The 13343-nt window shown below is 43.0% G+C and overlaps 1 long non-coding RNA gene across 1 annotated transcript in view, besides 2 other annotated features; it reads right to left on the minus strand.

Annotated features, from left to right (window-relative positions):
• The window catches only part of CASC8 (cancer susceptibility 8), a 192464-nt gene that overhangs the window by 131118 nt on the left and 48003 nt on the right, over positions 1-13343 (minus strand). Inside the window, exon 5 of the long non-coding RNA NR_117100.1 lies at positions 36-170. This is a non-coding gene — a long non-coding RNA (cancer susceptibility 8). The remainder of the gene's footprint in view (positions 1-35; positions 171-13343) is intronic.
• Positions 1457-1606: an enhancer, noted in NCBI's record as "active region_27941". NCBI's record gives its function as "activates an Ori minimal core promoter by ATAC-STARR-seq in GM12878 lymphoblastoid cells {active_cell/tissue: GM12878}" and the evidence as "EXISTENCE:reporter gene assay evidence [ECO:0000049][PMID:35858748]".
• Positions 11423-12337: an enhancer, noted in NCBI's record as "H3K27ac hESC enhancer chr8:128444461-128445375 (GRCh37/hg19 assembly coordinates)". NCBI's record gives its function as "activates a minimal SCP1, AML or CMV promoter by ChIP-STARR-seq in primed H9 embryonic stem cells {active_cell/tissue: H9 hESC(primed)}" and the evidence as "EXISTENCE:reporter gene assay evidence [ECO:0000049][PMID:30033119]".

A 13343-nucleotide genomic window follows, 5' to 3' on the forward strand; every position in this document is an offset into this window, starting at 1 on the left:
GATTTTAAGTAAAGATACATTAATTTTTTACTTACGTCAGTCCAAAATAGGGTTCCTGAGGAGCAAGTGGCTCTTCTTCAAGTGGTGATCCAGAGAAGAAGCTCCTTGCATTTTCTGGCTCTGCCATATTCAACACACCTTTCAAGGTGACCATGTTCATCAGCACAAAGCTGGAGGAGGGAAAGAGTATGGAGGCTTGAACATGGCAGGTTGTGTGTCACGCCCTCCACTCATGTTTCATTGGCTGAAGCTCAATTGCATGGCTGTCCAATTGCAAGACAGTCCCAGAGATGGTGAGCTCAGGAGGATTAAAAAAAGAGTTTGGGAAAGCTCTTGACAATTTCTACCTCAGAAGTGTGTTTGGAAACACAAACTCAAATCCAAAGCTTTTCACTCAAAACACAAGGCCTCCAGTTCATGGTGTATACAATTATTTAATGTGGGCATAAAGTAATAAGAATCATCCATGTGTGTTCCTGAGGGGAAGAGACAGAACCAGAGAAAATTTTATAATGTGATAGTGTCAGCCCATGATTCTACCATGGGAATATCTATTCTGAAAAAGTGTAAGATGGGAAACAGGGACTGCTGCTGCCTCCACCTATCACAGTAATCACTTACTTTACTTATATTACCGATAAAGTAATGTATAAGTAACTGCACATAAGTCTAGCATTTAAGGACATTGATTTTTATATCACTTGTTATTTATATAAAAATAACCATATATATTTAATAGTAAATATCACTGTAAAAGGATTACGTGAACAATATGCATTCCATGATGATTTACAGTCCCAGTTAGAAATTCCAAGGGTCATTTTGATTATATGCCCTGTTTTCTTTATCTGCTAAATTTAGAACCGACATCTCCACTGTATTCAAACTGTAGCTCTCTCTCTTTCCACTCACATCTCTGTGGATTTTTCTCTACTGCCTGTGAGTTTTATAGTGTTAGTACATACTCTGAGAACACAGACACAGTGGGACTTTTTGCATTGCTATGTAAATCTGCAGATTCACTACTCAATAATTATTGACCTCTTGACTTTGCCTTTTTTCCACCTCATAAGCATTTCCAATGATCCAGAAATGTGAAGAAAGAACAAGCCCCAAGAAGGTAAATTTTCCCTGAGTAACCTGGGGAACTCACATAAAAATGGACTGACACAAATGTTATTTCAAGATTTAAAAACAATATATTTGAATCCTACATCAAGAAGTAAAATATCATAAGCTCTCAGCCTGCTGATCGACTCTACAGCACTGTTTCTCATCATTATAATATCCAAATATAAGAATGTGAAGGAAAGAGAATTTCAAGCACCATAAGATTATCATAGATATTACTCCATTGATCTAGTCATTCACTGAATGTGAGACCATGTGTCCACAGCAGTGAAGAAACTTCTGTTCCTGCCATCAAGGATCTTACCGGGGGTAGACAGATAGTGCACACATCATCAATTTTTTTTATAAAAAGGTAATTACTGCTGGCAATAAGTGGGGTAAAGGAAATCAAATTCAGGTGCTATTTTAGAAAGTGCTCTGAGATGAGCAAGTGGCATGCTATTTTAGAGAAGTGGTCAGAAAAGATTCCCCTAAGCCTCAGAGCCCTGACTGATGAGTGATCCAGGTAGAGAGTGGAGGAACAGTATTTCAACCTATGCAAAGGCCTTGAGATCAGGATGGTTTCAGGAAATTCGAGAACACCATGAGTCCATGTGGCTGCAATGGCAACATTGAACATGAGGTAAAAGGTGGCCAGAGGGGTTTTCATGGCCTGTGGAGTTTGTAGGCCAGGATATCAAGAGTTTGAATTGTGTTTGAAGGGTAACATAAAGCTATGGAGGTAGGTGGGTGAACAGAAGAGAACCATCATCTGTTTTGTTTTGTTACAAGGATCGCCCTATTTGCTACATGCAGAATAGGCTCTTTGTGTGTGTGTGTAGTGGTGGGGAGGAGGAGAATTGACAAGAGTAGAAGCAGAGAGATAAATTGAGAGATCAGAAATGACTCGGACCACAAGGGTAGACTTGGAGGTGGTGAAAGTGGTCAGATTAAGGATGCACTTGAAAATGGAGTTGTCAGGACCTGCTGATGGCTATGGCATGGCTGTGAAGGAAAGTGAAGAATCAGGATGCCTCCCAGGTTTTCAACCTTGGCACTAGTGAAAGGATTGGCAACAGCTGAAATGGAAGCAACTGGGAAAGATGTTCTGCCCTAGTGGTGGAAAACACGCCACTGGCTCAGCTGGATACTTCCAAAGGGCTGCTCTGGTAATACCTCTAGTCAACAGATATTTGATGAGTACTTCTGCCCTATCCTCAAGGAGTCCCAGGCTGCAAAGAAAAACTGATGTACAAACAAATGATCATGCTGAGAGAGAAAGCCCACAAGTTACTCTGGGAATAAAGAAAAGGACAATGAAGCCAAATGTGGACTCAGGAATGCTTTTTGGAGGAAATGACACCTAGCTAAGACTTGAAAGATGAATAAAAGCCAAAGATGTTGGGAGAAGCAGTCAGGCAGTGGAAACAGCATTAGCAAAAGCACAGAGAGCTGGAACAGCATGACAACAAACCACACACGTCTCACCAGGGAAGTGGAGGGTGGAAGGGAGCACAGGGATGAAGTTAGAGACGTTTGCAGGTTCCAATCATAGATGGTTTTTATGCTGTTCCTCAGAGATAAGCATCTATCCTATAAGTCTAAAGAGGCAACCATTGAAGAGTTTAAGATAGGAGTGCCAGTGTCAGGAATTAGGATGACAAGCTCAGTTTCTAGGAGGTCCAGATAGTAACAAATAAGAACATGTCTTTGGCATTCATTGCTTCTACCACATATTTTGCCTTTGATCCCGGTTTTCTTGGGTGTGTTCTTCTATTGTACGTCCATAATCTCCTGGTCTAGAAGGTATAAAAGCTTATTTTTTAAGTTTAATTTTCTGCACTCTTCCAGTAAACGTCTAGCATGGAAGAAGAAATCTACAGAGTTCCCTGGTATATTGCCTGGCTAGGATTTAAGCAAGATATTCATGAACCATCTTGAAATATCAGAAATAAAGATTCACTCCCAAACCCACCACCACTATCTGCATACCTGCTGCCATTTAGTATCAACTGATTTTTTAACTTAGAATCAATAGCAATCACTGAGAAATCTCAATAGCTATTTAACTATGAAAAGATAGACATCAAGTCAAGCACAAACTTCAAAACTCTCCAAAATACTAATAGCTAACATTGGCTGAGTGTTTACTTATATACCAGGCATTCATCTAAACACATTTCATGCATTAATTAAATGTTTTCAAAACAGCTCTAAGAGATATTTAATTTGACAAATGAAAAAAACTGAGGCTTAATTTCTTTATCCAGGGTCACACAACCAGAAAGTAGAAAAGCCAAGATTGAACTTCAGGGATCTTGACCCTAATGCCTTTTCTGGGAAAACAGTCCATAGTTTTACTCAATAATTCTTAAATCCTTTTATTTAAGAAGTATTCTTAAATAAAACCTTCTCTTCCAGAATATTCTCCAAGTCCCACTAACCAAGTTCAATTCCTACCTCTCCCATGATCTTTCCTGCTTAATACGAGTCATTCCAATCTGATCTCCGATGGCATATGCATTCTATACCAGAAATGTCATTAATTCCACTGCACTTATTCCCATAAAAACAAGAACTTGTCAACAAAATGAAGACAAGTTTGTTTTAAGTATTAATACTTTAAAAGAGTTAAAGGACTCTTTCTTTCTTTTTCACCCTACACATAGAATAAGTACTCCTCCACCAAATGCAACTACCAAGTACCCAGCACACATACACTATACATACACCAAATACACACATATAAGCACACATGTGAGTTTGGCCAAAACACATAATAAAAGAAGAAAATTGCAGCAACTTCTGAACCAAAGAAAATGAGAAAAAAAATACATGCCATACAACATTAATTGCAGCAAAGTCTGTAGGCTGCAGACTACGTGGGCACAAACAAGATTCAACTTTGTGCATGTAGTTGAATCTTGGCCTTTTATTTGCTATTTGTGTGACACTGAACAGCTTCATCATGCCTCAGTTTCCTCATTTGCCAAATTTGCCATTTTTTTCTTGGGTGTTTATCCTGTAAGGCTCTTGAGCAACAGTCACACTCTCAAGAAGATTCATTATGCTCTCATATTTTCATTTTGTGTCTTATAATGCATTGATTCATCTTTTGCTCAATTTGACTTCTAATATTCTACATGGTTTAGAGAATAAAGTATGTGGACCTGTCCAGAGCAGATGACCGTCTGCCTCTAAGCTTGAGGCTCTTAATTCCAGCTCCATTGCCCATTGGTTGTAGTCATAGAACAGGGAAAATTTAATTCAAAACTCTCAATCCACCCTGGAGAAGGAAATTAAAGCCTAGAAGAATAATATGCCTTGACCAAGGTCACAGAGTATGTTAACAATAAAGCCACAACCAGAAGTCAAAGCTTCCTGTACTCAGCCCAATTTCTACTAGTAAATATTTCCTGAATGCATATTAATGTTTCAGGGCCTGTGGATACAGAAATGAATAAAGCACAGTCCCCACACAAAAATATTGCCAATTGTATTGAACCCAACAGATGACCAATTGCAATGCTTCCTAACCTTGTTTGTGTCTGTGTCTGAGACACATGATACTTTCCTAACATGGGCCCTTGGAGAGTTGATTCCCAGCCACTCAGTATTTACAAACTGGAAATTCACTAACCTGTAACCTGTACCAGTTCCCAGTAGAAACTTGCACATTCAGAAATATTTTGAATAATCCTCACATGGAAGATGAGGATGCTTCTGAGGAGGAAAATGCCAAAAGTAAGATAAATCAGACCAATGACTTAAAGCTGCTGGAAAGACATATACATTTAGCAAGATGTCTGGAAGTGGGGGCTCTAAAGCTGATAGAATAGCTTGTGACGTCAAAGCATTAGATTGATGTCTCTCACCTTCTCTCAGTCTTTCCCTCATGGGCTCAGGTTGGCATTCCTATCTTTAGGAATCACGATTTCACATAACTGCATTTAAAGGCAAGAAACACAAGGCAATCAAGATGGAGAGAGTGGTGTAGCAGGAGGAGAGAGAGAAGAACAGAGAGAGAGAGAGAGAGAGAGAGCACTTGCCATGTATCTCTCCTTTTAGGAAGGAAGATAAATCTATCCTAGATAACCAGGAGTTTCCTTAAATCTCACTGGGCAGAGCTGGCTCACATAGCTGCCCTGCTGCAAAGGAGGCAGGCAAGCATGCATCTGGCTCATTCAACCTACATAAGTAGAGTCAAGTAAGGGAAAAACCAACTTCAGCATGACTATTGGTAGGCAAACAAAAATGTCTGCTGCACCCAAACTGTGTAGGTTTGTTGAAGGAATGCATGATCTGCCCTGGGAGTCATAAATAGCTCTAATTGCAGAGCCAGCATCCAGGAGTTTGCAAATCTCTAGTCCTCGGGCCTAAGAAAACTTTCTGAACCAAGCTGGAAGGGGGAAGAAACAGGCCAGGCAGATTTCAAGGACACCTGCCATTCTGGAAGGGGGAAGAAAGAGTCTAGGCAGATTTCAAGGACACCTGCCATTCTTCTACACATCACATTTTGCCAGATTTTGCCCTCCATGCCTGGGTCCTCAATGGCCTGTGATAATGGAATACTACTATTCACTAGGGCATGGAATTCTGCCACTTACTACAGCTCAGAATTTTATCAACTGTTGATATTGGAATTCTACCCCAAGCAGATCTTCCATTTAGCCATCATCCAGGGATCAGAATCTTACCATTCCCAGAACCTCAATCCCCACCCCATTTATTTCTGAGAACTTGAAGGTAGCAAGAAGATGTCAAATCCCAACCTAGTGAGTCAATGTAATTGATTCCTAGTGAATAGTCAGTTGCCTTGTAACCTCCCAAGATAGCTGTGATTAGAAAACTGGATTCTCAAAGCTAACTTTGGGTCCACCCATTGCTAAGTCTGTCCCCTCCTCCCCCAGCTCCTCCCTTGGAAATGTCCCAAGACAATGTGCCATGAGATTCATCTTCCCTTCTACGAGTAATAAGTCCTGCAAGGGGCATGTCAGAAGTGCCCTGACAGGAAAGCCTGGTGACCTGCCAGAGGAACCTTTCACTTTTTTCCGCATGCTCTGCTCTGTTTCCCTTTTCCTCCTAAAGGGAAAATCTGAAGGCGTTCAGTTTAGTCACCCAGGGTAAGCCGTTTTGACTTGTCGACAGTAAATACTGCTCTGTCCTAACTCCCCGTGACTGACACACAAGCCTGTTATTTCAACATCACTCTCTGAAACCTCCCTCCAGAAACCTCAAGGCAGTTGTATATGTCGTCAGTAGGTCTATGGGCCTGGACAAGGCATTCTGGTGTAGTGAAAGTCAACGTCCCTGGAGTCATTCAAACTGAGTTGGACTCTCAAGTCTTCACTTTCCAGCTCAGGGATATTGGCCGCTTATCCAGTGAGCCTCTTGTTCTCCTCTGTAAAATGGAGATAATAGTGCCTACTTTACTGGATTGTTGTAATTAATAAACATCATGCTGGTAAAAGGTTTACACCTGCAATGGTGCCTGGAACAGAGCAAGTGATTTTAGAAAGTATACACATAGAGGTGTGTGTATGTGTCTGTGGTGTATGTGTGTATACTCATTCATTCATGCATGTATGCATTCAACAAGTACCTCCTGCCTACTAACTGCCTGGTCTTAATCTAGGTGTCGGATATGTAAATAATAAATAAAATTGTCAAAGTCCCATCTATGTTTTAGAGTGGAAGACGGACAATAAATAAATAGATGTGTATTGTGACAAGTGTCAATAAGAGCTATGAAGGACAACAAAACATAGTAAAGAGATGAGGAAGGCTGGAGAGGCCAAGGCATCCATTTAAATAAGGTCATCGGGGCAAGGCTCTGAGAGGGTGGCATGGAAGGGAGACCTGAAAGAAAGGAGGGAGAAACCACATGTTTTCGTTCCTCTCCACACACTGCCACCAAACTATTTCTCCTATAGCCTTCCCAAGCTCAGTAAATGATAATTCCACTCTAGGAGTTTTCCAGCTCAAAAACCTCACTGTCAGCCTTGACTCCTTCCTTCACACCCATGCCATGCCAACTGTAGATGCAGCCAGCTCTGTGGATATCTGGGAAGGAGGCTTCCAGGTGGAGAATAGCAAGGTCAAAGGCTGAAGGGAGGAAGCTCCCTGGCCTGCTGTGGACAGTGAGGAGGCCGAGATGCTAGAGAAGGACAGTGAGAGAAGGCCAGAGGATCAGCTGAGGTCACTCACCTGGGACTTTGTGGACCAGATTAAGGAATTTTTAGTTTTCCTCTCAGGAAGAAGGGAAGTCATTGGAGATGTGTGGACAGAGGAGTGTCATGCTCTGAATTGTGTTAGAAAGGAATCACTCTGGCTGCTCTATGGAGAAGAGACTAGAAGGCCAAGTGCAGAAGCAAGGGATGCATCAGGAGTCTCTAGTGACAGATCAGCTGCGAAGCCATGGTTGCTTGGTCTAGAGTGGCCATAAGAGAATTGATGATAAGACATTGTTTAAGGGTAAATTTTGAGGCCAGAGTTGGTTGCCATTGCTGTTGGAATAGGCTTGGATGTGAAAGAAAGGAGTCAAGGCTGACAGTAAGGTTTTTGACCTGAAAAATTCCTAGATTAGAATTATCATTTACTGAATTGGGGAAAGCTATAAGAAAAGTAGTTTTGTGGTGGTGAGATGGGAATGGGGCAGTGGAACCAAGAGTTCATTCATTGAATAAATATGTTACTGAGACTCTCTTGTGCCAGACGTCTTGCTTAGCACTGGGAATACACTGATGACTAGACAGAAACAGGCTTTGCTCTCATGAAACACAAGTAGCACAAAGAGACAACATTTATTGAGTCCTTACTAGGAGACAAGCACCATGCTAAGTACTTTTTATTTAATGAAGCTGACTGTCTGGTAGGAGAGACAGTCATTAAACAAGTAACTATTCAAATATTTATTTAATTATGAGTGGAAAAGTACAGAGCATATCCCTGTGTATAATTTGGGAAAACTGCTCCCCAGGCTCCTTAGGGAAGGTGATACTGGGCTAGAGCAGAGGAGCAGCATTTTTGAGAATCTGGCCAATATGGAAAGATTTGCTGACATATTCAGATTTGAGACTTTTTTTTTTTTTAGACGGAGTTTTGCTCTTGCCACTCAGGCTGGAGTGCAGTGGCACAATCTCGGCTCACTGCAACCTCCGCCTCCCAGGTTCAAGTGATTTTCCTGCCTCAGCCTCCCATGTAGCTGGGAATACAGGTGCCTACCCACAGGTCCGGCTAATTTTTTGTATTTTTAGTAGAGACGGGGTTTCATCATGTTGGCCAGCCTGGTCTTGAACTTCTGACGTCAGGTGATCCACCCGCCTTGGCCTTCCAAAGTGCAGGGATTACAGGCGTGAGCCACGGCACCCGGCCTGGAGACCACTTATTTTGCAAGCATGTTGCCTCCCCTCTTATCTCTGGGAGTGGGGAGGACATGACCTTCTGTGTGAGTCCATGGATTCAATGATCAGAACCTCCATGACAGAAATTCCAAAGTGGTCTAGAATCTCTGCCCAGGCCATTTCTTGGCATGGCAGGCTATCCTCTCTGCTCCCTGCCTACCTATCCCACTTGGGCCAATCCAACAGGAAACATCTAGACTGCAGAAGACAACGACTTCTCCCTCTGACCACCACACTTCTACGTGAACCCCATTCCTAGGCTCCAACTTACCTCTCCAACCCCATTTAAATGTGTTCCATTGAGCCTCTGATCATGTCTCATCTTGTATGATTCTGAAATTTATCTGATTGCTTGTTTCCCAGCAATACTGCAAACCCCTTGAAGACAGGGATGGGTGCCTTGTTCTGCTTTTGTATCCCCAACAGGCATCACAATGCAAACTGCTCGGGGCTGATAACATTTGAGTGAGAGACTGTGAGCCAAAGACCTTGACATCATTTAAGAGAGGATGTTTGGAAAGAAAATCATCTTTTCAACACACAGAATTCAGCCTGACTCAGGCTAACCAACATGCCTGTGCAGCTAGGAGATATACCAGAGTGTCAGTTTATTAATTTTCAATGGGGGGAAAGAAGACAAAAGTTTCAGGTTGGTCTGAGTTGGTGAGTTTCCTTCCCTGAAGCCAAGTCACAGGGGAACCAAATCATGATTGGAAACCATTTTATTTTTATTTTCTCTCTATGAGAAGCTACATTGGCAGGAATCAGAAAATAATTGAGCTCCTTATGAGGTAGTCTGTTAGAGGACTCATGGTAGCATAAATTGCTATCTATAACTAATGGGGTTATTTCTCCAACCTGGGTAACCTTATGACATTGTCCATGTATTTCAAGGCATCCAAATCTCTCCTTTGCTGGAAACGTAACACCACCCACTAGAGCTTACCAGATTAGCCTCTTTAGGCTGCAAAAGATGCCCAGTAAATGATGAACACACAGACATGGGGTTTTTGCTTCACTAGACATAGCCCAAAGGAACTAATTTATGCTTCCCTTTTCTTTTTGGCATATTTTGGGAGGCAACCCACCACCATGTTGATTTCAGACTTAAGAAGGAGAAATTGAGGGCCTGGGTGTTCTACAAACAAACTTTATCTATAGATAATTAAGTTTCAGACAACTAGCTTCAGCGACTACTAGAAATATCTTCGGATTAGCATCAACAAGAAACTTGAGCATTTAGAAACCATGATGATTTCAGGCATGCCCACAAGAAATTAAATGTTTCAGCACAAAAGGCAGGTGTTGAGTGTGTAGAACTGTTCAGAGTAAATCATTCTATTCTTTCTGCATAGTCCTCTATAATTGAAAAAGTCCTTTCAGAACAATTTCGTAGGGAAAGAAAACTTGCATTTTGTGCATCAGCTTTTGTACTTAGGCTTTTACATGTGTTAACACTTATGTTCCTTGTGATGGCAGATGAAGAAAATGTAGCTGAGTGAAGTTGAGTGGGTTGCTTATTGTCAACAAGTCCTGAGGGACAGAGTCAGTAATTGAGATCAGAGTTGGGGGCTCTTGTCCAAGCTTCTCCCACAACCGCATTCTGGGGCACTTCGTGGAGAAATGCCACTCAGCAATCTGCATTCAGCTCTGCTGTTGCTGTGGTTTTCAAATTGGCTACACATCAAAAAACACGTGAGAATCTTGTCAGCCACAGATTTCTAAGCCTCACCTCAGAGGTTCTGATTCTCTGGGTATGGCATGGGCCCCAGAGGTCTAGATTTTTGCATCAGGTAACTATGAATATTCCAGGTCCCTGCCTTCATACAAAGCACCATGAGGTGATAAGTATTACATTTTCTTGTTCCTGGTCCTAGGGTTCATATTTAGCTTAATTCTATAAAATAAAAACTTCGGACATTTAACATACCCTGCCTCATTTGATAGGGTTGTCCATGAAATTGAGAGACAGTGGAAAACTCATTGATCTTGCTATTTACCATGAGTCGTAGACCTAGTAACTTAGCCTCTCCGAGTTTCAGTGTCTCCATTATTGAAAGCAGGGCTTATAGTAACTACTCTCTAGAGATATGAAATTCAAATACCATAATATGTGTATTAGCTGTAGTAGTAGCCATTTATCAGAGCAGGAGATGAAGGGCACAGGTTCTATAGCCTGACTGCCTAGAGTCATATCCCAAAGCTTTCAGCTACTAACTGTGTGATCTAAGGGAAGTTACTTAACTGCTCTGTACCTTAGTGTTATCATCTATAAAATAAGAAATAATAATACTAGTACCAACTCAGAGACTATCAGGAGAAATAAATGAATTAATATGTAAAAGGCTTTGGCTGCATCACAGAGAGTTTGGTAAGTTGTGTATTTTCATTAATTTTGTCAGGCCTCTGAGCCCAAGCCAAGCCATCCCATCCCCTGTGACTTGAATACCCAGATGGCCTGAAGTAACTGAAGAATCACAAAAGAAGTGAATATGCCCTGCCCCACCTTAACTGATGACATTCCACCACAAAAGAAGTGAAAATGGCCAGTCCTTGCCTTAAGTGGTGACATTACCTTGTGAAAATCCTTTTCCTGGCTCATCCTGGCTCAAAAAGCACCCCCACTGAGCACCTTGCGACCCCCACTCCTGCCCGCCAGAGAACAAACCCCCTTTGACTGTAATTTTCCTTTACCTACCCAAATCCTATAAAACGGCCCCACCCTTATCTCCCTTCGCTGACTCTCTTTTTGGACTCAGCCCGCCTGCACCCAGGTGAAATAAACAGCCATGTTGCTCACACAAAGCCTGTTTGGTGGTCTCTTCACACGGACGCGCATGAAATTTGGTGCTGTGGCTCGGCTCGGGGGACCTCCTTTGGGAGATCAATCCCCTGTCCTCCTGTTCTTTGCTCCATGAGAAACATCCACCTACGACCTCAGGTCCTCAGACCAACCAGCCCAAGAAACATCTCACCAATTTCAAATCCGGTAAGCAGCCTCTTTTTACTCTCTTCTCCAACCTCCCTCACTATCCCTCAACCTCTTTCTCCTTTCAATCTTGGTGCCACACTTCAATGTCTCCCTTAATTTCAATTCCTTTCATTTTCTGGTAGCGACAAAGGAGACACGTTTTATCCGTGGACCCAAAACTCCGGCTCCGGTCACGGACTGGGAAGGCAGCCTTCCCTTGGTGTTTAATCCTTGCAGGGACGCCTCTCTGATTATACACTCACGTTTCAAGGGTGTCAGACCACACGCAGGGACGCCTGCCTTGGTCCTTCACCCTTAGCGGCAAGTCCCGCTTTTCTGGGGAAGGGGCAAGTACCCCAACCCCTTCTCTGCTTTTCTGGGGCAGGGGCAAGTACCCCTCAACCCCTTCTCCTTCACCCTTAGCGGCAAGTCCTGCTTTCCTGGGGGGCAAGAACCCCCCAGTTGCTTATTTCCGCACCCCGACCTCTTATCTCTGTGTCCCAATCCCTTATTTCCATGCCCCAACCTCGTATCTCTGCACCCCAATCCCTTATTTCCGTGCCCCAACCTCTTATATCTCTGTGCCCCAATCCCTTATTTCCACACCCCAACCTCTTATCTCTGCACCCCACCCCTTTTCTGGAAGGTAAGAACCCCCGAACCCCTTCCCTCCATTTCTCTACTCTCTCTTTTCTCTAGGCTTGCTTCCTTCAGTATAGGCAACCTTCCACCCTCCATTCCTCCTTCTACTCCCTTGGCCTGTGTTCTCAAAAACTTAAAACCTCTTCAACTCACACCTGACCTAAAACCTAAATGCCTTATTTTCTTCTGCAATGCCACTTGACCCCAATACAAACTCGACAGTAGTTCCAAATAGCCAGAAAATGGCACTTTGAATTTTTCCATCCTGCAAGATCTAAATAATTCTTGTTGTAAAATAGGCAAACAGTCCGAGGCGCCTGACGTCCAGGCATTCTTTTACACATCAGTCCCTTCCTAGTCTCTGTGCCCAGTACAACTCGTCCCAAATCTTCCTTCTTTCCCTCCCGCCTGTCCCCTCAGTCCCAACCCCAAGCATCGCTGAGTCTTTCTAATCTTCCTTTTCTACAGACCCATCTGACCTCTCACCTCCTCGCCAGGCCGAGCTAGGTCCCAATTCTTCCTCAGCCTCCGCTCCTCCACCCTATAATCTTTTTATCGCCTCCGCTCCTCACACCTGGTCCGGCTTACAGTTTCTTTCCGTGACTAGCCCTCCCTCACCTGCCCAGCAATTTACTCTTAGAAAGGTGGCTGGAGCTAAAGGCATAGTCAAGGTTAATGCTCCTTTTTCTTTATCCCAAATCAGATAGCGTTTAGGCTCTTTTTCATCAAATATAAAAATCCAGCCCAGTTCATGACTTGTTTAGCAGCAATACTGAGATACTTTACAGCCCTAGACCCTAAAAGGTCAAAAGGCCGTCTTATTCTCAAAATGCACTTTATTACCCATTCTGCTCCCGACATTAAATAAAACTCCAAAAATTAAATTCCGGCCCTCAAACCCCATGACAGGATTTAATTAACCTCGCCTTCAAGGTGTACAATAATAGAAAAAAGTTGCAATTACTTGCCTCCACTGTGAGACAAACCCCAGCCACATCTGCAGCACACAAGAACTTCCAAACGCCTGAACCGCAGCGGCCAGGCGTTCCTCCAGAACCTCCTCCCCCAGGAGCTTGCTACATGTGCCGGAAATCTGGCCACTGGGCCAAGGAATGCCCGCAGCCTGGGATTCCTCCTAAGCCGTGTCCCATCTGTGTGGGACCCCACTGAAAATTGGACTGTTCAACTCACCTGGCAGCCACTCCCAGAGCCCCTAG

This window comes from Homo sapiens, chromosome 8 (assembly GCF_000001405.40).
Source record: "Homo sapiens chromosome 8, GRCh38.p14 Primary Assembly".
Taxonomy (NCBI): domain Eukaryota; kingdom Metazoa; phylum Chordata; class Mammalia; order Primates; family Hominidae; genus Homo; species Homo sapiens.